General features: G+C 49.6%; 1 protein-coding gene across 2 annotated transcripts, besides 1 other annotated feature; it reads left to right on the top strand.

Moving 5' to 3' along the window:
• Positions 1-3,162: 3,162 nt before the first annotated feature.
• CDCP2 (CUB domain containing protein 2) lies at positions 3,163-23,476 on the top strand. Of its 2 annotated transcripts, NM_001353655.3 has the most exons (6): positions 3,163-3,319; positions 11,350-11,697; positions 14,730-15,065; positions 16,057-16,410; positions 19,355-19,533; positions 22,869-23,476. In NM_001353655.3, the coding sequence occupies exons 1-6, from the start codon at positions 3,241-3,243 to the stop codon at positions 23,193-23,195; spliced, it is 1,623 nt and encodes a 540-aa protein (NP_001340584.1). In that variant the 5' UTR covers positions 3,163-3,240; the 3' UTR covers positions 23,196-23,476. The 2 variants fall into 2 exon arrangements, with proteins under 2 accessions (NP_001340584.1, NP_963840.2); NM_201546.5 differs by lacking the exons at positions 19,355-19,533; positions 22,869-23,476 and having other exon boundaries at positions 16,057-17,168.
• Positions 17,619-18,245: an enhancer, noted in NCBI's record as "H3K4me1 hESC enhancer chr1:54603591-54604217 (GRCh37/hg19 assembly coordinates)". NCBI's record gives its function as "activates a minimal SCP1, AML or CMV promoter by ChIP-STARR-seq in naive H9 embryonic stem cells {active_cell/tissue: H9 hESC(naive)}" and the evidence as "EXISTENCE:reporter gene assay evidence [ECO:0000049][PMID:30033119]".
• Positions 23,477-24,170: the final 694 nt, after the last annotated feature.

Here is a 24,170-nt window from a genome sequence, read left to right as displayed (position 1 = left end):
TGCTGAGGGTGCCCAAAACAGAAGTGGTTGTTTCAGGGAGTGGGACAAATATTTCAGAGGTAGGATGATTCTGGAGGTGATATGGTTTGGCTCTGTGTTTCCACCCAAATCTATAGAACTGTAACCCCCATGTGTTGAAGGAGGGGCCTGGTGGGAGGTGATTGGATTATTGGGACAGATTTCTCCATGTTGTTCTCATGATAGTGAGTTCTCATGAGATCGAATGGTTTAAAAGTGTGTGGTGCCTCCCCGCTTGCTCTCTCTCTCCTGCCCCATCATGGTAAGACATGCTTGCTTCCCCTTCCCCTTCCGCCATGATTGTAAGTTTCCTGAGGCCTCCCAATCATGCTTCCTGTTAAGCCTGTGGAACTGTGAGTCCATGAAACCTTTTTTCTTCATAACCCCAGTCTCAGATAGTTCTTTATAGCAGTGTGAGAACAGACTAATACACGAGTCTATCAAGTGCAGGGTGAGGTCACTGGAATGATGACAGTCTTTCTTTTTCTTTTTTTTGAGATGGAGTCTCACTCTGTTGCCAAGCTAGAGTGCAGTGGCATGATCTCGGCTCACTGCAACCTCCGCCTCCCGGGTTCAAGTCATTCTCCTGCCTCAGTGTCCTGAGTAGCTGGGACTAGAGGCACGCACCACCACGCCCAGCTAATTTTTGTATTTTTAGTAGAGACAGGGTTTCACCATGTTGGCGAGGATGGTCTTGATCTCTTGACCTTGTGATCCTCCCGCCTCGGCCTCCCAAAGTGCTGGGATTACAGGCGTGAGCTACCGCACCCGGCCGACAGTCTTTCATTATGGATGGCTCAGTAGGTGCTGTTATGGCCCTGCCCCATCCTGTGTCATTCACTGTTCCCATCATGCAGGCAGCTTCTGCCTGTAGCCCCCTGTACTCTCTGCCTCAGGGCTTTGGGGCCATGCACAGCAGGTTGGAAATATCTGGGAGATAAGATCCTCAGAGCAGCTTCCAACCAAGGGCACGGGGAGTTGGTGATCAACATTCTACTTCTTCCTCCACCGGTGAAACAGTGAGAGGCACAGTCTACACTGTGTCCTGGAGGTTCCCACTGGGACTTAGCCCTGGTTGCCCACAGTGGTAACTTGCTCACTGACATTCTTTGAACTAGCTTCTTTCCTCTCCTTGTCCCACTTCCTTACCTGTGCTTCCTGGGATCACCTCCCAAATCCACTACTTGTCCCGGGGTCTTCGTGTGAAGGAACTCAACCCAAAACAGTGGCTCCAGCCCTTTGAGCTTCAGTTTCCTCCCCTGTCCTTTGGGAGTATACCGAATGCTGTGAAAGCTGGGAGGCTGCACCCACATGTGAGGCTCCCAGCACCAGACCCTGCACCCAGCAGGTACTGGGTTGGCACTTTTCCCTGCCTTCCTCTCTCATACACACAATAGGTGTTTAAGAAACTCCCATCTGGCCAGGCACGGTGGTTCTTGTCTGTAATCCCAGCACTTTGGGAGGCCTAGGTGAGCAGATCACAAGGTCAGGAGTTCAAGACCAGCCTGGGCAACATGGTGAAACTTCGTCTCTACTAAAAATACAAAAATTTGCTGGGTGTGGTGGCAGGTGCCTATAATCCCAGCTACTTGGGAGGCTGAGGCAGGAGAATCGCTTGAACCCAGGAGGCAGAGGTTGCAGTGAGCTGAGATCACGCCATTGTACTCCAGCCTGGGCAACAGAGCAAGACTCTGTCTCAAAAATAAATAAAATAAAATAAAATAAAATAAAATAAAATAAAATAAAATAAAATAAAATAAAATAAAGAAACTCCCACTTTCTCAGACTGCCTGGAACAGCTGAACACTTCTTTCCTGCCAGTCAACCTCCACAGGTAAGCCAATCCCTCAGGCCTGACGGGTCCTGAGGCTCCGCTGAACACCTTCCACGAGTCTTCCTATGCCTGCAGCAAAGGGCTCCCCGGGGACTTCTGACAAAAGGATGGGCCAGAGGCACATGCTGTCTGGCAGAAGAGGCTGTCTGGGTTCCTCTAGGATAAATAGAAATCTTGAGTGCGTCTATGCACTGAGCCAGGCACTGGCTAAGACTTCTCATACACTATCACGTTTAATCCTCTCAGCAAACTGCAGGCTGCTAATTCTTGCTCCAGTTTCGCAATCCAGGAACCTGGCCTCAGAGTTACAGAGTTGGGTTACTTTCCCGGGCTACCACAGCCAGGCAGGGGTGGAGCCAGGATTCAGACCTTAGTCTGCCAGAAACAGCCCAGGATCCTCACTGGGAGAGCAGGAATGCGCCATGTTCCCCTGCTGTCCCCATGCCTGGCACAGGCTCTGCACAGAGAAGGAGCTTAGAAATGCATGTTGGGCTGAACTGAACCAAATCAAAAGACTCTAGATGAGAAGAAAGAGCCCGCTTCCTGTTGGACACAAAGTCCCCGGGGCATTTCTGCAGCGCCAGCTCCTTGTGCGGGGCCTGGCACATACGATGTTCAAGCAAGGCTTGGGATCAATAAAGGAGCGGGCATTCCATATTCTCGGCCGGAAGTTACACTGGCTCCCAGACCTATTATTGCATTAAGAGTTGCACAATACGATTTTCCAATTCTGTTATTCCTGCTGCATTCTTGCGTGAAAAAGACTTTTCCCTCAACTGTCTGCAGCAACCTCCTTCCCTCCTCTGAGCTAAATCCGCATGTCTGAAGGAAGTTGTCCTGCGTGTCCCACTAAATACAGGCTCCTTTCAGCTCCCTCGGAGTGGGGATGGGAAGAACCTGTAGCGAGCACCTACTCTGTGCTTTAGCAAGTGAGATCTCCTTTCATTTGCACAACAGCCCCTGGGTCGGAGCTGAACAGCCCCACTGGATGGATGAGAAGACCCAGACCAGGGGAGTTAAATGACTTGTCCAAGGTGACCTGGCAAGTTACAGGCTGAACTGGGATTGATCCCAGATCTACCCGGCCCTAAAAGTTATGCCCTTTCTCCTCCACTCACTTTCCTTCCAGGCCTGAGTTCCTTCCCTTCCTGATAGTGTGGTCGGTGCAGATCTCAGAACGTGTAAACCTGGTGACACCAGATCCGTCACTTTACAGTGAGTAAAGGAAGTACCCAGGGATCGGCTTACTAATTCTAGGGGCCGGTGAATTATTCATGCCACCATTAACTTGGAGGCCCTTTCAGCCTCACCTCTCTTTCCCTTGCTCCGGACCCTGAGATCCTGGCCTACCTGAGCTCGGCAGACCTGTGGGGGCCCCTGGTGAGGAGATGCTGGCAGAGTGGGGGGCTTGCCTGCTGCTGGCAGTGGCACTGCTGGGCCCAGGGCTCCAGGCCCAAGCCATGGAAGGTAGGCACTCTTGGGACAGACATGAACTGAGAGGGGAAGGAGGTGGGCAGGCAACAGCCAGGGGCTCAAGAAGTTTCTACATGGGAAGCCAGAAAGCAGGAGGTCCTTTTAGGGGACGTGGCTGAGTTGAGAATGTGTTTGTTCCTGAGATGGGGGGAGACAATATTGAGTGCCTGCCGTGTGTTGCATGTTTCACATGTAGGTTGCATTTAATCTGCACAACAAACTTCAAGGTGGATGTTAGTCCCCCATTTTCCAGATGAAGAAACTGAGGACTAGAGATATTAAGTAACCTGTCCAAGGCTACATGGTCACCAAGGTTGAAAGGAATGGCTCCAAAAACTATTAAAGGTTTATTGCTAAAGAGTCTTTTTTTTTTTTTGAGACAGTCTTGCCCTGTCGCCCAGGCTGGAGTGCAGTGGCCCTATTTCAGCTCACTGCAACCTCCACCTCCCAGGTTCAAACAATTCTCCTGTCTCAGCCTCTCGAGTAGCAGGGATTACAGGCATGTGCCACCACGACCAGCTAATTTTTGTATTTTTAGTAGAGATGGGGTTTCACCATGTTGGTCATGCTGGTCTCGAACTCCTAACCTCAGATGATCCACCTGCCTCGGCCTCCCAAAGTGCTGGGATTACAGGCATGAGCCACCGCACCCAGCCTATTGCTGAAGAGTCTTTATTCTCCTCCCGAGACCCTGCTGCCCATCCCACTGCCAAGCAAGTGAAATCAAAGTTCCTTCTTATGGTATTCAGTGCCCTCTGAGTGTGGGCTCCAACTTCCATATCGTATTGAGCCTCAGTTTCCTGCATCCCTTGGGCATCCCATGCTCTGGCAGGGGAATCACAACCCCTTCTGCTTCACCCTCAGGGATCTTAAGCCCTGCTGTCCCCTCTGTCTGGAAAGTCTTTTTTCCCTTTTTCCACCTGAGAACATCTGGCTCACCCTTCAAGCTCAGATCAAATACCACTCCCTCCGTCGGCCTTCCACATCCTCCATCAACCTCACATGCGCCTTCACTGGGGCTCCTGGAACCCTCTGCCTGCACTGTGGTCCCCAGTGGTTTTGTGCTGCTCTGGCCTTCCAAGCATTGTTTACCTGTCTGTGAAGCCGGGGTGATATCATTTCACCCTTCGGCAAGGCTCAAGTGGGGCTCAGGGAGGAATTGTACCTTGCCAGTCACCCAGTCACTGGCAGAGATGGGATGGGCACCCAAGCATCTCAACCCATGCCTGGGTGGTGGGAGGAGGTAGCTTTTCCTATTTTCTGGCCACTGGGGCTTAAGGGGCCTTGGGGTAACCCTGGACATCAGTGTGCCTGGCTGGGTCCTAGTGGACAAGGCCTCTGCTTATGCTGATGACTGGAGCCACCTGGGCTGTAGGAATTCCACTCTGATGCTCTGGCGCCTTTCCCTGCCCTGTGGGTAGGGCTGGGAGAAGGACAATAACAGGCATTGGACAGAATATCTATTTGTCCTTTTGCCATAAAGGCATGAATTAGATGCCATTCCTGCCCTGTCCCACCCCAAGAGCTAGGCAGAGAGCTGATAATGTGCATCTGTGCAGCCCTCACACAGCCTTTAGCTCATCAGTGCTCACAGTCACCCAGCAAGGGAGGCACCACTATCCCCATGTCACGGCTCACAGAGGCTAAGTGCACGTGCGTCTGGGCCTTTGTCTATGCCATTCCCTCCCTGAAAATCTTCCCCAACTGAAGAAACCTTCTCATTCTTCCTAGACAAACTCAAATATCACCCCCTCTGGAAATCTTGCCCCTCCTTGATACTGCTGGCCCCAGCAAGATCGGCTTTCCTCTCCCCGGACCCCAGAGCCCCTTTGTGGCCACAGTGCAATCACGCTGTGTGTTTTGTCTCATTTGCCTGACTCCCCCTGGCCCACTCCATGGTGAGCTTCCCACAGAGGGGCCCATTTTGAATCAGCACAAGCCTGGTACAGGGCACATGTTTAGCGAATGTGTCTTCTCTTATAGGGATTTGGTTAAGTGTATTCTTCAGGATGCTTTTGGTTGCAAGTGACAGAAACTCAACCTGGATGAGTTTAAGCAAAAAGAAGAATACATTGGCTCTGTAACCAGGGAGGCAGGAGGTAGCCGAGCTGGGCTCAGGGATGCCACAGCCAGAGCCTCTGGGCTCCAGGGCTACTTCCACTTCTCACATGGCTCTTCCAGTTCCCACAGGGGATTTTTCCTTAAGTCCTGAGCATAAATAATAAGAATTTTTTTTTTTTTTAAATGGAGTCTCACTCTGTCTCACCCAGGCTGGAGTGCAGTGGCGCAATCTCGGCTCAGTGCAGCCTCTGCCTCCCGGGTTCAAGCAATTCTCCTGTCTCAGCCTCCTGAGTAGCTGGGATTACAGACTCCCGCCAACATGCCTGGCCAATTTTTGTATTTTTAGTAGAGACAGGGCTTCACCATGTTGGCTGGGCTGGTCTCGAACTCCTGACCTCAGGTGATCCACCCACCTTGGCCTCCCAAAGTGCTGGGATTACAGGCCTGAACCACCACGCCTGGCCGTTAATAATTTTCTAAAAAATTTAAAAGAGTCAGATACCGACCAAATGCAATGTATGGACCTTGTTCCACCCCCAGGGCTCCCCCTCCCAGTCAAGGGACCAGAAAGGAAAGAACCCCTATCTGGGCATTCTGAGCAGAACTCTGGCCTAGCCTGGAGCACATGCTCACCCTGCGGGCCAGTCACTGTGGTGGTGGTGGGAGCCCCAAGACTCCCCAGCTAGAGTCAGGCGTCCACCCCTGGGTCAAGGAAGAGGAGGGAGGGTTACCACATGGAGGCAAGGAGGGGAGCAGTGTCTAAAAGAGGGAGCTATTGTTGCAAGAGGCAAAGGAAGTGGTATTGGGCAGACCCAAAGCAATAGATGTTCACTACAACAAGTGACTTCCCTTTCCCGGGCTCAGTTTTCTGATCTGTAAAATGGGTCAGTAGCACCTGCCCTGCCTAGTTCATGGGGCTGTTGTGAGGATTATATAAGATTATTCACTCACTCATTCATTCAGCAAATATACACTAAGCACCAGCTTTGTGCCAGGTACTGCTCTGGGTGCTTGCAATACGGTAGGGAGAGGCACAGAAATCCTTGCTCTCATAGAGAGCAGGATACTGAACCAAATCAATAAGTAAAATAAATAGCATGTTAGATCGTGACGAATTCTATGGAGAAGCATATAGCACTAAAGGGAGAGAAGGAGCATGGGCTGGGGAGAGGTTTTCAGGTGTAAATCAGGTGGTTAGGGAAGGCCTCGCTGAGAAGGTGACCAGGGATGTGCTGGTTATTTTGTTGACTTTTAATTATGAAAAATTTCAAACACACGCAAAGCACAGAAAATCATACAATGAATCCCTACGTCCCCATCAATCATCTTCAATAATTATCAACCTTCTGCCTTTCTTGTTTCTTTTATCCCACCCCAGCCCCATTCTGGGAGGTGTGGAGAAATCTAAAGCCTATCTCAGATGCCATATTATTTCACCCATAAATATGTCAGAATGTGTCTCTAACAGAGAAACACATAAAACTGTATATAACCTCAATACCTTTATCATGGTATAATAAGTGCTTAATTTAAAAAAATTTTTTTAGAGACAAGGTCTCTCTCTGTCACCCAGGCTGGACTACAGTGCTGTGGTCATAGCTCACTGCAGCCTCGAACTCCTGGGCTCAAGTGGTCCTCCTGCCTCAGCCTCTTGAGAAGCTGGGACCTCAGGAGCACTCCATCACTCCTGGCTTCATTCCTTAATTTATGTGCTAACTCAATTCATGTTCAGTTTTCCCCAACTATTGACCAAATATATATATATATAAAATAAATATATTATATATTATATATATATATATTTTTTTTTTAAACAATTCATTTGTTCAAATCAGAATCCAAACAAGGTCCATACATTGCATTTGGTTGATATTTGACTTTTATATTTTTAATAAAATTATTATTATTTGCAGAGACAGGGTCTCACTATGTTGCTCAGGCTGGTCTCAAACTCCTGGCCTCAGGTGATCCTTCTGCCTCGGCCTCCCAAAGTGCTGGGATTACAGGTGTGAGCCATGGCACCCGGCCTTGACTCTTTTAGTACAACAGTTGTGCCTCCTTCCCCCCTTTATCTTTTGTTGTTGAAGCCCCAGCGTCATTTATCTTATAGAACTTCCCACATTCTGGACTTGCCAAATATGTCCTCATGGAATTACTTAAAATGTTCCTCTAGCTTCCATATTTACTCTAACTGTAGACAGATCCAGAGACTTCCTGAGATTCATATTTCTTCATTTTTTTTTTTCAAGAAGAGATTTACTGGCCCGTGTTTCACTTGACACTTGTCTACATCAGTGGGTTCAGGGTTTGTTAGCCTGGTCTATTTGTTACAAAGTTCTCCAAATTAACTTTTTCAGTTTTTTTTTTTTCACTGTCAAATAGTCAGCTGAAGTGAATTTTTTTTTTCTTTTTTTCTTTTTTTTTAGAGGTTGGGGTCTTGCTATGCCTAGGCTGGTCTTGAAATACTGGGTTCAAGTGATCCTCCTGCCTCAGCCTCCCAAAGTGCTGAGGACACCTGGCTATATATTTTTAATTATAAAAATTTTTATTTGCCTGGCTTATTTGACCAGTAAAAAAAAATTCAAACATTTAGCAAAGTTGAAAGAATTTTACAGGGAATGCCTGTATAACCAAATCATGTTTTACCTTTCATCAACTTTTTACTCAGTGATTAGAACAGGGTTTGATAATGTTGTCTGGATCCATTATTTCATTAAGGCTTGGAAAGTATGATTTCCTTGTTTAAATTTTTTTTTTTAAATTTTGAGACAGGGTCTTTCTCTGTTGCCCAGGCTGGAGTGCAGTGGTTCCACCATGGGTCACTGTAGCCTTGACCTCCCAGGCTCAAGTAATCCTCCTGCCTCAGCCTCCCAAGCAGCTGGGACCACCAACATGCACCACCATGCCCGGCTAATTTTTAAATTTTTTTTGTAGAGATGGGGGTCTTACTATGTTGCCCAGGCTGGTCTCAAACTCCTGGACTCAAGTGATCCTCCTGCCTTGCCCTCCCAAATTGCTGGGATTATAGGTCTGAGCCATCACGGCCAGCCAAAATTATGTTTTCCTAGTGTTGTTATTCTTTCTGAAGTCTTCTATAAATAAGTTTTCCCGGCCGGGCACGGTGGCTCACGCCTGTAATCCCAGCAATTTGAGATGCCCAGGAGGGTAGATCAACTGAGGTCAGGAGTTCGAGACCAGCCTGGCCAGTATAGTGAAACCCTGTCTGTACTAAAAATACAAAAATTAGCTGGGCATAGTGGCAGTCACCTGTAATCTAGCTACTCAGGAGGCTGAGGCAGGAGAATTGCTGGAACCCAGGAGATGGAGGTTGCAGTGAGCTAAGATTGCACCATTGCACTCCAGCCTGGGCCGACAATAAGTTTTCCCTCACCATCTATTTAGTTGTCCAGAAATACAGTCCATATAGGAAAGGCCAAGTAGATGTTAAATTTCTATTATCAATTTCCTAAAAAAAATTGATAAATGAGTTAGTGCCTAGCAACCTCTAAAATAAACCAATGAGTTTCATTTCAATTTCTTTTGAGTTGCATTGTGAATTCTTGTTTTTATATATGTGATATGTTTCAATCCACTGCAAGCATTACTCTCTTTTGATGCTCGAATTGTACCTTCTTTAGCCAGTGGAAGCCATTTCAAGTAGGTTTCTGTGTCTTTTTTTTTTTTTTTTTTTTTTTTTTTTTGAGATGGAGTCTTGCTCTGTCACCCAGGCTGGAGTGCGGTGGCACAATCTCAGCTCACTGCAAACTCTACCTGCTAAGTTCAAGGGATTCTCATGTCTCAGCCTCCTGAGAAGCTGGGATTACAGGCGTGCACCACCACACCCAGCTAATTTTTGTATTTTTAGTAGAGACAGGGTTTCGCCATGTTGCCCAGGCTGGTCTCGAACTGGTGAGCTCAAACGATCCGCCCACTGGGATTACAGGCATGAGCCACTGCGCCTGGCCAGGTTTCTGTGTCTTTCCACACAATCTCAGCAGTCTTTGATAGCTTCTTTGCTGTTTGGCATGGCAAGATAACCAAGTATATTTTGTGTATTTCCTGTATTAAACCTGGTACCAGACATTGCTCTAAAGAGCCTTGTTCATCTTAGTTGAACATAAGAATCCTAATCGAAAGCCTAGAGGTGTAAAATGCTACTGGATTCTAGGCCTTCTTGGTAAACAGAACTAGGAAATAAATTTTTAAAACATAAAAATAATCAAGTTCACACTGATACTTTCAATTCAAATTAAGGATCACAAGAGTTTTACTTACTATTTTAAATTTATATCTCTCAGGCTGGGCGCGGTGGCTCATGCCTATAATCCCAGCACTTCGGGAGGCCAAGGCAGGCGGATAACTTGAGGTCAGGAGTTCGAGACCAGCCTGCCCAAAATGGTGAAACCCTGTCTCTACTAAAAATACAAAAATTAGCTGGGTGTGGTGGCGGGCACCTGTAATTCCAGCTACTTGGGAGGCTGAGGCATGAGAATCGCTTGAACCTGGAAGGCAGAGGTTGCAGTGAGCTGAGATAGTGCCACTGCACTCCAGCCTGGGCTACAGAGCCAGACTCCACGTAAAAAAAAAAAAAAAAATTATACTTACCACTCTTACACTGAAAATATTGGTTTCTATTGACATTAACTTACTTATTTGCTCTATTCTAATATATAATAATTGCAAAATGATATTGAATATTATTACTAATAGTAAGTTTACTGAATATACTTTAAGATGTTGTTGTGGTTCATTTTGTCCTTGAGATATATCCCACTAGGACTGTGTGGTCAAAATACTGTCTTTCAAAGTCATTTGAAATCATTTTTCCTCATGTGACTGTGTCTCCAAGTTGGTAAGATTCAGTTTATTTGTTTCAGTTTGGGATATTTAGGGGTTACTTAACTTTGTTTTGATCTCTTAAAATTATATAAAGTATTTTATATGCTTACACAGTGAAAATTATGAAACAGGGCACATTTAAGGAGATCCAGCCATCATGCCTGCTTCCTCCCCTCTTTTTACTACTTCCCCTGACAGAGAATTATTCTTATTAGTTTCCTTCCATTGTTTTCTTTTGTCAAACACAAGCAAATCAGCACATATAAAAATGTACTTTTAACATCGTAGTAGACTGTGCACATTTTCACTTGGGGAGGTTATTATTATTATTAATTTCAAAATAATGTTTTAATAATTAACTTAAATTCCCTACTGCATAATGTTTTAACTAAAATTCTCGGGCCCTGCCTGACACTTCCTGTCTCTTTTCCTGGCTTGCTTTTTCTCCATAGCTTCTCACAGTGTCATATACTATATATGTATTTCTTTTATTTTTTATTTATTTATTTTTTGAGACAGAGTCTCGCTCTGTTGCCCAGGCTGGAGTGCAGCGGCATGATCTTGGCTCACTGCAACCTCCGCCTCCCGGGTGCAAGCGATTCTCCTGCCTCAGCCTCCCAGGTAGCTGGGACTACAGGCGCGCACCACCACGCCTGGCTAATTTTTGTATTTTTAGTAGAGATGGGATTTTACTATATTGGCCAGGCTGGTCTCGAACTCCTGACCTTGTGATCTGCCCACTTCTGCCTCCCAAAGTGCTGGGATTACAGGCATGAACCACTGCACCTGGCCCCATAAACTCTATATTTTACCTGCTATGTTTATTGTCTGTCTTCCCTGCCAGAATGTAGGTTCCATGAGGGTAGGGGTTTTGTCTGTTTTGTTTCTGCTGTGACCCCAGCACCTAGAACAATGTCTAGCACTCAAACAGTATTTGTGGAATGAATACCAGCATGCTTGGTCAGCATCTGAAGAATAAGTAGATGCATGAGCAAATAAACACATGGCCATGTGTTCCCTCATCCCATCCCAAGAACCCAGCTTTGTAGCTGGGCCCACTGCCCTTACCACATGTACCCAAGACCCCAGCACGGAGTCTCAGCCATACTTCTCTCTTGCCCCAGGTGTCAAATGTGGGGGTGTGCTCTCAGCACCTTCTGGAAACTTCTCCAGCCCCAACTTCCCTAGACTGTACCCCTACAACACAGAGTGCAGCTGGCTGATCGTGGTGGCCGAGGGATCCTCGGTGCTGCTCACCTTCCATGCCTTTGACCTAGAGTACCACGACACCTGCAGCTTCGACTTTCTGGAGATCTACAATGGGGCCTCACCAGACAAGGGCAACCTGCTGGGGAGGTTCTGCGGCAAGGTGCCCCCGCCGCCCTTCACCTCCTCCTGGCATGTCATGTCTGTCATCTTCCACTCGGACAAGCATGTGGCCAGCCATGGCTTTTCTGCGGGCTACCAGAAAGGTCAACGGGGGGCCTTAGGGACCTGTTGCAGTGGCTCACACCTGTAATCCTGGTGCTTTGGCAAGCCAAAGTGGGAGGATTACTTGATCCCAGGAGTTCAAGGGGGGATTTGGCAGTGGAGGAGCTGGCCCTGGGGTGGAGATGGGAAGATAGCAGCAGGGCTCAGGTGAGACCTACAGGGTCTCAGCATCTTGGCACGTAGGCTGCTCTGTAACCTGCAGGACCCAGCTCTCATGCATAGTTTATAAGGCAAAAGCAGCCTCCTCACTGTTCATGACCATGCTTGTAGCTGGGGTTCCCACCTTCATGGCAATGCTCCCCATGCCGCCTCCGTTTCTCCTAGAGTCGTCAGAGGGTCGCACTGCGCTCAGGAATGAGGCTCTCATGCTCTACTACCCTTGTCATTCTTGTCCTGTGTCATGGCATAAGGCCACAGGAGAGGACACCACTGCTGTTGGGGCCTTCTGCAGCATCCCACCACTTCACGGCTTGGGAATCCTTGCCTGAGTTCCCACACGAGGGTCTGGGTGGAGCTAGTGGCTGTTATATCATGTGTCCCTAACCCCTCTCTCCTTCAACCAGGCTTGACACCTGCCTCTCAGTCTAGTGAGGGAGAGGAGGCCTTGTTCTTCTTGCCTTTCTCTTTCACTCACTCATCCTTGTCTCCAGGTTCTGTGCAAAGGCTCAAATCTCCTGCTTCCTCCCAATGCCAGAACCAAAGACCTCACTGATGTTAACTCAAACAGTAGACACCCACAGAGGCTACTGGTTCCCAGGGTCCGCCAACAGCAATCCTGGGGGACTCAGGTGGGACCCCAGTCACTGCTGCATTTGGAAGGATAGAATTGTAGAATGCCACAACACAAGAACCATAGGCTGATCTAATCATAGTTTTGGAATTTTAGACCCTTAGATTTGTAGAATGTTAGGATATCAAAGTCTTAATACCATCAGCCACATTTCCTAACATTTTTAAAAACAGGAATACCTTTATGTCAAATGGAACCTTATGTTAATCCCCTATATTTAAAAAAAAAAAAAAAGATAAAGGCAATAAAAAATAAAGGCAATGTTTTAGTGGTATGCATTTATTCTGTAAGTTCTTTTTTGTTTGTTTGTTTGTTTTGAGATGGAGTTTTGCTCTGTCATCCAGGCTGGAGTGCAGTGGCACAATCTTGGCTCACTGCAACCTCTACCTCTCGGGTTCAAGCCATTCTCCTGCCTCAGCCTCCCAAGTAGCTGGGATTACAGGCGCGCGCCACCCACCATGCTTGGCTAATTTTTGTATTTTTGGTAGAGACAGGATTTTGCCATGTTGGCCAGGCTGGTCTCAAACTCCTGACCTCAAGTGATCCACCCGCCTCGGCCTCCCAAAGTGCTGGGATTACAGGCGTGAGCCACCATGCCCAGCCTGTAAATTCATATTTTAACTTCTTATAAGCCAGTCATTAAAAACACAAGTAAATATTGATGGCCTCTAATGAGTTAAATTTTTAAATGTAGAATATTTAAATTTTAATATCTTGTTAAAGATATTAAAGTCTGTGGGTGCTATCTTTTCATTACATTAAAAGAGAGCTTGAAATACAGCATAAGAATGAAATTTGCACCAGGTGCCAGCAGGTGCTCCAGGGGGCTGCTGGGGAGCCCCAGGGCACAGTTGGGAAGTCTCCGCGAAGGTTGTTAGTGTTGGAAGGGATCTCACAGGCTATCTAAACCTGCCCTCTCATTTCACAAAATCTGAGTCCCTGAGAGGGCCTTCCTAAAGTTACATGGCTGGGCCAGCACTGGGAAAAGACGCCAAGTCCTTAGATGCCCCATCCAGAGCCCTGGTCACACAGCCGTGCCATAGGGCGAGATGCTGGAGTCTCAGGAAACACATCCCACGTATGTCCTCCCTGCTGGTGACCTCCAGCAAGTCGCAGCATTCACCCACACTTGCCGTGTAGTTGTACTGGCCAAGCTGGCTTCCTGAGAGTTTCCAGCAGCATATTTTCAGACTGTGCTCAAGTCTGAGCCCAGTGGATCAAGCTGGTTCAGTCTTATGATTTCTAATGTTCCAATGAGGCTCAGAGAGGCTGGGTTACTTCCCTAGAGTCACACAGCTAATAAAAGGCAGAGATGGGAGACTACTTGTCTTCAGATGTCAAACCAAGCTCTACTTCATCAGGTCCTCTCTCTAAGTCTTGGTTTCCTCATCCATTAGGGAGGTTTGATCACATTCCTGAGCTCAGGCACCTCAGCCTCTGTGCCCCACTGGCCTCGTAGGAGTGGACAGTGAAGGTCACAAGGGTCAAGTGCACAGGATCCATAGTTAGTCTTCCTGGGTTCAAATCCCACTTTCCCAGTTACCAGTCGGGTGACCTGCTCTCAGGGCCCTGACCACATTCCCTGGGCCCTGCCACGTCGATGTGCTTCTGCCAACCTCCACAGTTCTATGCTGGAGGGCTTTTTTCTGAAGTCTCAGTAGGGCACTCCCAGCCCACAGCAGCCCTCTGCCTGCACTCTGGGGAGTTGGCATGTAAATGCCGCAGCTCCCTTGCTCCTAGATTGACAGAACTCTGAAGTATGTGCTTTACCCCGTCCCCAGAGTTCCCCCCAAGGTCAGCAGCTGACTTGAACACACCTCCCCTTCTCTGTCCTCTCCCTCCCTCCCCACCTGGGGGCCCCTGGATCTCCCAAGTAAACTCCTTGCACTCAAATCCTTATCTCAAGGTCTGCCTGGGTGAACTCAAACTCAAGTAAGCTACTGAACTTGTCTTTGCCTCCCTTTTCTTAATTATAAAATCAGAGAAACTGCAGCACAGTCCTTGTGCGGCTACTCTGAGGATTTGAACAGGCAGCATAGGTGCCAAATGCTGGGCCTGAGCACGTGCTACACTTGCTACTTGGGTAGCAGGTGCTTGCTGGATGGTAATGAGGCCCTAATGAGATACCTGTGGGGGCAGCATGTTGGAGTGTCTTGTTCCCAAGGGAGGAAACTGGGAGCCACAAGGAGAAAGAAAGGTCAGCTCAAGTGGGCTCCCTTGCAGATGTGTGTGGCGGCGTCCTGACTGGCCTGTCAGGGGTCCTCACCAGTCCTGAGTATCCCAACAACTACCCGAACAGCATGGAGTGCCACTGGGTGATCCGGGCCGCTGGCCCTGCCCACGTCAAGCTGGTGTTCGTGGACTTCCAGGTGGAGGGCAATGAAGAGTGCACCTATGACTACGTGGCTGTGCTTGGGGGGCCTGGCCCCACCCGTGGGCACCACTACTGTGGCAGCACCAGGCCCCCCACCCTCGTGTCTCTGGGCCACGAACTGCAGGTGGTCTTCAAGTCCGACTTCAACATCGGAGGCCGTGGCTTCAAGGCCTACTACTTCTCAGGTAGGAGGGGCTGGCGCTCCACCCTGAATCCTCCTGTGCCTACTGGGCTCCTGTCTCCCCATTACACTTGCAGGGGTCACACCTTTCTGCCCCCCGCAGCCTTGAGCTTTCTGCACTCTCTCTGCCTGGAATGCTCTAGCATACCCTTGGCCTATGCCAAGACATAAGCATGTCACCTCTGCGAAGACTTACTGTTTTACCAGAATTAATCCTTTTTTCAACTCCTTATATAAGTTTTTTACACTATGATCTAACATTTGTCACTTCTGTGTGTGGTTTGCATGTCAATCTCCCCTGTCTGACTGAGTCCCTTATGGGCTTATCTTTGTACCTGGCACATAGTAGGTACTCAATTTTCGTACAAATGAATGGATGAAGTCGTGGGAACTTTACAGTCTAGTTAGAGAGATTATAAGGAAACAGACAGCGCAAGCCATTATGATCTGTGCTATCCATCAGTAAGAATCATGGATGACTTCGTGGAGAAGAGAATTGAGCAGTACCCTGAAGGAGTTAGACGGAAGCAGAAGGGAAGGGCATTCCAAGCAGGAGGAACAGCATGTGCAAAGGCCTGGAGGGCAGAGAGTGTTTGGTATGCTCATAGTACATACCAAATGGGGCAGTGAGAAAAGGGGAAAGGCCAGGCATGAACCACATCATCTGTCAAGCCAGGGAGTTCAGAGGTAACTCTGAGGACAGGTATTGTGTATTATTATTGAATTCCTAACAGGGCCTACACCTGTGAAGGGGACTGTCAACTGGAATGCAAGTCCCAGCTTTCAGCTAGTTGCAGTTTAAAACAAGCTTTGGGATCAAGCATCCCAACTTTCAGATAGTTGGGATCAATTGTCTGGTGTGCTAGCCATGGTGCCCACAACCTGCTGGTGGTTTTTGGACCACTGTGGCACCTGCTGCCTAAGCTGTAACTGCAGAGAGTGACTTCTCCTCTCCCCTCACTGTTGCTCCTTCCACCTCCCCATCCCCCATCCAGGAGAATGCCAGGAGGTATACATGGCCATGCGGGGCAACTTCTCCAGCCCACAGTACCCCAGCTCCTACCCCAACAACATCCGCTGCCACTGGACCATCCGCCTGCCCCCGGGCTACCAGGTCAAGGTGTTCTTCCTGGACCTGGACCTGGAGGAGCCCAACAGCCTGACCAAGACCTGTGACTTTGACCATCTGGCGGCCTTCGATGGGGCCAGCGAGGAGGCACCCCTGCTGGGGAATTGGTGTGGACACCACCTGCCACCACCCGTGACCTCAAGCCACAACCAGCTTCTGCTTCTGCTGCACACAGACCGCAGCACCACCCGCAGGGGCTTCTCTGTGGCCTACATCGGAGGTCAGCTGGGCTGTGGGAGTGGGTCCACTGAGGGCGAAGGGGAGGCTTTGCAGCCTCAGTCTTTGCAGTCTCCTTCCTCCATCCCACCAGTTTGTCCTGCCCCCCCCATGAATGGTCTTCTCCAGCTCCTTCTCCATTGGCTACACCCTTGCCCACTCTCGGGACCCCTAAGACTGGACGGTACGGCTCCCGCTTGTTTCCACTATTGCAGAGCCTCCTTCCCCAGCTTCTAACTTCGTGAGTCCTCACCCCTCCCCATCTGGTTCCTTCCCCCTGGGCCCCTGGCCCCTCTTGTGTTGTTATTGGTCCCCTGTATCCAGGGGAAATAGACAAAATATGGTAATATTGTTTATGGCAAAAAAATTGGTATAACTGTGGGGATGTCTACCAGCCCTGCTTGTATCATTCAGAACTACTCATTGAAAACATGGTGCTTGTTTTTCCTCACTCAACAGGAAGCCTGGAGCTAGGCAGCTGCTGTATTGGTCCAGGGGCTCAACACTGTTCCAAATGTTATCTCTGGGACTCTCTGAGCCTCACAGCTGCAAGATGGCTGCCATAGCTCCAGGCATCGCATCCATGTTCAAGACTGGAGGGGACAGGGGAAGTGCCAGCTGCAAATGGCTCTTTATCAAGAAAGCAAAAGCATCTCTAGAACCTCTCATAAGACTTTTACAAAATGTCCCATCAGTTTGAACTCAGTCAGATGGCCATGCCTGGCTGCAGAGGAAGCTGGGGAGCTGGTATTTGGCTTTCTCAGGCTCCATATTATTGTTTAGATTTGTCAACCAAGAGGGTCCACCATTGCTCCCCTCCTCCCACCCTTCCTTGTCTATGGGCCCAGAAATACCTGCACTCTGTACCTATTGTGCCCTCTTCCTGGCCAAGCAAAGCTCCTCGTTGTGCAGGTATAGCAACAGAGGTGCTGAGAGGGAAAAGACTTCATTGTGACCACATAGGGAGTCAGTGGCACAGCCAGGATTAGAACTTACTCTCCTGCCTTCTTCTTGCTTGTTTGAGAGGGGCACGAGGGAGGGGAGTCCAGAGCTAAGCTCAGAGAGACCAGGGTCACATCCAAATGCTGCCATTTACTTATCATCCAAGAGGGCTCATCTGTAAAAGAGGTTGATGAAGGCCCTAGACAGGTGGTCATGAAGGCCAAATGAAGTAACAAGGTCACAATGCCTGGATCCAAGGACAGCTTTCCTTCAGGAAGGTGTCTCAGGCCCGTTCAGCATTCAAAAGATCTTTCCTTGCTCCATATGCAAGGGGAGTTGGGGCCAGGAATGGAGGAGATGGTGATCTGCAGCAAGCTTGCGGCAGAGCCGTGAACTTGGGCAGGCCAGCCCCTTCGGGCCTTAGTGGGCTCCACATGCAAGCTGGGGTGGGAGAGCTGTGGCTCTGTTAGCACAGCCCTGGAGAGCCCAGCTCCATTGGCTATGCCTCCACTAGCTGGCATGGCCCCATGTCTCTGTGGGCCTCAGTTTCTCCACCTGTAAGATGAGGATATTGACAGAAAGATCTTTAAAGTTCCTTTTGCCTCTGATAGTCTTATTTCCAGAACTCTCCCAGGCCCTCTCCCAGCCCTGTGTGATTTAGGACAAGCCCCTTCTGCAGAGAAGGAGAGGAAGTTAGCGGGGGTTCTTATCCCAGCTCCTGTTCCAGGGGCTTCGGGGCAGGAGTGCCCACCCCCCACTCCACCTCACCTCCCTCCCCCTCAGATCCTTGTGGGGGCCCAGGGGCAGACAAGGGCACTCACACTGGGCGAGGCTCCAGATGTGGCCCAGGCTGCAGGAGGCCTCCCCACTGGGAGGGCAGCCACAGTGCCAGCTGGGGGTGACACACAGTTCAGCACCACCGAGATCATCGTGGGAGATGGCTGGCCCATAAATCCCCGACTGCCCAGACACCAGAGGCTGAAATATGTCTGAGGCATTTCCCGGAGAGGGGTTGAGAGTTCCAGGCCTCTGCCTGCCAGCTCTCTTTCCTTTTCCTCCCACCAGGCAGTTGCCTTCATTTCCCCTATCCTCACCCCTGCCCCCGCATGCACACACACACACACACACACGCACACACACACACACACACATGCTCACCCAAAGCAGACATTTTGAGTCATGTGCACACTGTCCTGGCCAGGAGGGCTGCAGGAGCCTGCTGAATAGGGCAAACAGACCACGAACTCTGAAATCCTGTCGACCCGGTTGGCCACTGCAAACAACTTCATCTCTCAGAGCATCCATTTCCAAACCTGTAAAATGAGTTTAGTCACATCCACCTCCTGGGGTCATTGTAGGGAGGGAAAGTGAGGCTTCCCTTACCACCCTTTTTAAAACTGAAGCTCTCCTTCCTCATTCCTCCCCAGTTCCGATTCGCTCTACTCTCCCGCTGTTTCTTCTTTGCTAGATTTTCCTTTGGGGCACGCTGACACGTGGGTGTATTTTACATTTATTGCCCCCTCCCCCATCTAGAATGTAAGCTCCACAAGGCAAGAATTTCAGCTGTGTTTTTTCCTCATTTTTGTATTTGTGGTGCTGAGAATAGGACCTGAACATAGCAGGCCATCAATATATTTGTTAAATAATTGAATGAATTGCCTGGCACATGGCCAAGTGATTAGCAGATGAATTTTTATAATTATTAAGAACATTCATTCATTCACTCAGCATTCACTGGGCCTGCCAAGCTCTGTGCTGGGCCCAGAGGACGCTGAGAGGATCAAACTTGGTGCCTTCCCTGAGGAGCTCACAGTCTGATGGAGGTGAACAGAGTAACCCGTATAAGATATCCCACACTGTGCCCTGTAGGATTCCGTAAGAGCTTTTCCTACTCTGGGCCTCAGTTTCCCCATCCACCACCCTTTGTGGGAGGGTAGGGGGTGTTGGGGAGGTGAGGGTCAGACCGCCTGACCCTAAGGCTTCCAGCTCCTCCCTCCGATTCCCAGTGGTGCCCATGAACGTGAGCTGCTCCCGCACGGACTTCCAGATCCTGATCTCCACGCAGGCGCTGGCCCCGCTGGAGCGGACCAAGGTCTACCTGGGCAGCCGGAGCTGTGCCGCCCAGGAGGTCGGCGGCAACCTCAGGATCCAGGCCCGCTTTGATACCTGCGGCACTGAGTCTCAGGTAGGGGCTGGGGGAAGGGGCAGTCACAAGGGAGGGACTCTGACCCTGCTGAAAGGCATCTCACATTCCTGAAAATTCAGCTTCTCCTGGCTCTGGGGGCCACACAGGCCTGGATGCAGAGCTAACCCCTTCTTGGCTTTACTTACCTCAACCAATTTGCTTAGGGTAAATGTAGCAAAGAACTCCAATAGGAGAGACAGAGGAGAGGGTGTCCCTCTGGTTCCCAGCTCTCTTCCTTTTCTCTTCCCAGCTCTCTTTCCTAACCCCAGCTGCTGCTGCTTAACCCCACAGCAACCTAAAGACGCTACCGGTCACTCCTGCTACAGGGTCCCTGCTGGCTGAGCTGCCAGCAGTTATTCTTTGCTGTTCCTCCCCTTTCCCTTCAGTGCTCCCCAAGGACCCTGAAGACCTCACCCCTTTAGTATGCAGAGCTGTGTGGGAGCCCTGCTTCTCCCACCCATCCCCAACCTGGTGATCCAAATCCATTCCTGGGCTCCACAGCACAAAAGGCCCTTTCAAGGCACAGGATTCCCTCCCTCAAAAGGCTGTGAGCCTTACAAGTCCATTTTCCCTACTATCCTTGTATTTTGGAGGCCGTGAACCCAGACTTAGGGCCCTCACAGAGTCACTGGGCAGTGGCTCAAGCACCCTGGATATTTGTATGCTTAGGGACAGGTCAGGAAGTGGGGTATGGAGAAAAGGAACAGTGGCCTCTGTTGGAAAAACTCTCTGGCCTTGAAATCCAGGGGCTTTGCAGTCTGACTTAGCAGAAATTATGTGCTTTCCAGCAAACCCTCCCCCGCCTCCCAACATTAGCCACATGTATGCCTCTGGCCCCTCCAGGCCACCCTCTGCCTGCCCCAGCCTCCTGGCAACCACCATCCTTTTGACCTGAGAAGAGAAGGAGGGTAGGGGGCCAGTCCTGGCTGCCGAGGTATTCTGCCCTCCCCCTATTCCATGCCCTAAGTCTCCCAGAGCTTTTGTCTGGGACAGAACCACATTCCATAAAGTCATGGAATGACGGAGACAAAGAATCCGAGAAGCAGGGACTCAGGAAATCCTAGAACCAATGACTCATAGACACTCACTGTCTCATAGTCACAGAACCACCACCAGAACTCAGATCCACAGAACCATGAAATCTTGGGGTCAGTATCTTGGAAACATAAAATCAGAAAACCTTTGATTCATGGATTATTAGTGTAACCCTTATAAATAAATCCTAGACCCTCAAAGGATCAGTCTTTGCATAGAGTTGCTTTGGAAGATACGCAGCTCAAACGGCTGACAGCAATAAAAAGTAATGCCAATCTTTACGTGCAACTCTTTAAAAACATTAGAGACTTGACTCCCTCCACAGCCATCAGCAACCCATGTTGTGTGGCTTTTCTTTCTTTGTCAAGTCTGTCACTCATCAAAACCCCCTAAAGCTTCCCCCCACCCCCATTCTCTGATTTTTCCCTCCCTTCCTTATTATGTAGATTTACTTTAGCCTTTCACTGGGTCCCCTTCCACTCTCAGGAGTCTTTCTTTCCCCAGTGTCCTGATTCTATATCCCAAAAATCCAGGGCACAAGTTCTCAGATGGGAGCAGGAGCTCCTCTGGGGACATGGCCTTTTGGAAGCCCAAAGTTGGAATAGACACATAAAGTCACCTAGTCCATAAAACTGATTTGTGACCAGCCTGGTCAACATGATGAAACCTCGTCTCTACTAAAAATACAACAATTAGCTGGGCATGGCGGTGAACTCCTGTAATCCCAGCTACTCAGGAGGCTGAGGCATGAGAATCGCTTGAACCCGGGAGGCAGAGGTTGCAGTGAGCCAAGATCATGCCACTACACTCCAGCCTGGGCAACAGAGCAAGACTCTGTCTCAAAAAACAAAACAAAACAAAAAACAAACAAAAAAAACCACATGAGAACCCTCCTGATTTGTGACACCTGTTCAACCCTTCCCCAAAAGGGTCACCCAGTCTCTGGTGCTGGGGACTTCCTACTATTCACGGCTACTGTGACTCTGCTAGGCAGCTTTGATTTTTAGAAGCGTCCTCTCAGGAGTGCTACTTGCTAGATGGGGCCAGTTAGGAAACCCTGAAGAAGGCAGTGGCTGCTGCAGATTGGGCGTGGTTGGGAGAGTAGTTCTGCATCACTGCTGACCACGCCAGACTGCCCATCACAATGCTGCCCTCCAGCCTGGGCCTGCAGGCCCATTGTCTCAGGGCCACTCGACTCCTTCATCTGAGGTGGGGAGGGCAGCAGGGTGCCAGGCCCCCACATCTTGTTCCTCGATGGCTCTTCCCAACACTAGGCTGCTGTCCCTGGGGTGGCCAGGGGCTCAACGGCAGGATACCTACTGCAGATATCATCGGGAGAAAAGGCTGCAGGGGGAAGCCATACAGCACCGGGGACAAAGCTCCTAAGGTGGAGGCAGGAGACTTGGCTTCTCTAGCTCTGGGCAAGTCATCGCCCTTCCAGGCCTCAGTAGTCATGTCTGTAAATTTGCCAAGGATGGGGGATTGGAGTCGATGCTTTGAAAAGCCCCCTTTGGTTCTATATTCTTTTGTTTGAGTGAGGTGTGATGGCCAAGAGCACAGTTAAGAGTTGGGCAGATCTGAGTGAGAATATGGGCTCTGTCACTTGTATGCTGTGTGACCTCAGGCAAGGGATTTAACCTCGGGGCCTTAGTTTCCTCCTCTGTAACATGGGGTTTTTTTTGTTTGTTTGTTTGTTTTTGAGATGGAGTCTCACTCTGTCCCACAGGCTGGAGTGCAGTGGCTCGATCTCAGCTCACTGCAAGCTCCACCTCCCGGGTTCATGCCATTCTCGTGCCTCAGCCTCCCGAGTAGCTGGGACTACAGGCGCACACCATCACGCCCGGCTAATTTTTTGTATTTTTAGTAGAGATGGGGTTTCATGGTGTTAGTCAGGATGGTCTCGATCTCCTGACCTCATGATCCGCCCGCCTTGGCCTCCCACAGTGCTGGGATTACAGGCGTGAGCCACCGCACCCGGCCACATGGGGGTTTTAGTGGTACCAATAAGAGAACATTGTTGTGAGAATTAAATAAGATACTTAAAATATAGAGCCTGGACCATGGTAAATGGCCCCAGAACATTAGCCAGAGAAACACTGGCACCAAATCTGATATCGTCCTTCCAGACAGCTTACCTTCACGGTACTCCTTTTACAGATGGGATCACTGAGGCTCAGAGTTAGGACTAGAACACAGGCTCCTCGGGCTCTGCCCCCCTGGTACTGAGAACCCCACATATATAGGGAAACAAGTTCAGCCCAAGCTCCTTCAGGTGTGATGAGTACCCTGTGACCCCACAGAGAAGAAACAACACTTCAGTGATTGTCAGCGTGCTGTACATCGACTTCTCAGCCGCGGGGCGGGAGGACATCCATGAGTACGAGGTCCGCTGTGAGCCACGGCGCAAGGAGGCTTCTGTCCACCTGCTGTCTGGCTCTCACTGGCTGGGGCCCTATGCTGCCACTGCGGAGCACCTTCAGGAAGCACCACCCATGGATGAGGCGGAGGCACTGGAGGGCCCAGTGAGCATGGTGGCCCAGGATACCAGTGACATCGTCTTCCTGGGCCTTTGCATCCTGGCTGGAATCCTCATGGTTATTGCCATCGTGGTCTTGATGCTGCTTTGAATAGACAGCATAGGGACCTGGCATCTGACATGCCTGGGAGGCAGCTTAGGGACCCATAACAGGGGTGGGACGGGGACTTGCTGACTTGGTGACCATTGGCAGGTCATATCCCTCTCTGAGCCTCCATTTCCTAGGGACAGTCATTCTGCCCTGCTATCTCACAGGGCTGGCATGAGGCTCAGAGGCGGGCAGAGATGGATAAGAGCTTTGTAATCTGTAGCATGCTGTGTATGTATATGCAATTGCTGTTATTAATTTTAAAGATATTCTGCTGTAGAAAAGAACTCTCCCACGTGTGTTACTTGTCAGTTTGGATAGTTGTGGTCACTGGTGGCAGAGTGTAGATAAAACTGACTCATTCTATAGCTTATATGGGTGCTTTACCAACTCAGGGTACAAACAAAGGCACCACTAATTTTCCTCCCTCCCTCCCTCCCTCCTTCTTTTCTTCCTTTCTTCCTTCCTTCCTTTGTCTCTCTTTCTTTTCTTTTCTTTTCCTTCGAGACAGAGTCCTGCTCTATTGCCCAGGCTGGAGTGCAATGGCACAATGTTGGCTCACTGCAATCTCTGCCTCCCGGGTTCAAGCAATTCTCCTACCTCAGCCTCCCGAGCAGCTGGGATTACAGGCACCTGCCACCACACCTGGCTAATTTTTGTATTTTTAGTAGAGATGTGGTTTCACCATGTTGGCCAGGCTGGTCTCGAATTCCTGACCTCAGGTGATCCACCCGCCTCGGCCTCTAAAAGTGCTGGGATTACAGGTGTGAGCCACTGCACCCAGCCTTATTTTTCCAATTAATTGCTCATCTTAGACCTTCATTAGCAGGAAGCTAATGAAGTATCCATCCAGGGGCCTTCACCATCCTGAATTGACCCAGGAACCCTGGGAACTTTGTCTAAAGCAAGCTGTCTCTGCCTCCAAACTCCAGGAATAGAGAAAGGGAGCCGAAGTCCCATCCAGTGCCCTCACTTCAG

The sequence above is a fragment of the Homo sapiens genome, chromosome 1 (assembly GCF_000001405.40).
Source record: "Homo sapiens chromosome 1, GRCh38.p14 Primary Assembly".
Classification (NCBI taxonomy): domain Eukaryota; kingdom Metazoa; phylum Chordata; class Mammalia; order Primates; family Hominidae; genus Homo; species Homo sapiens.
The sequence above is the reverse complement of the archived record's forward strand: the minus strand, read 5'-3'. Positions and strand labels throughout refer to the sequence as shown.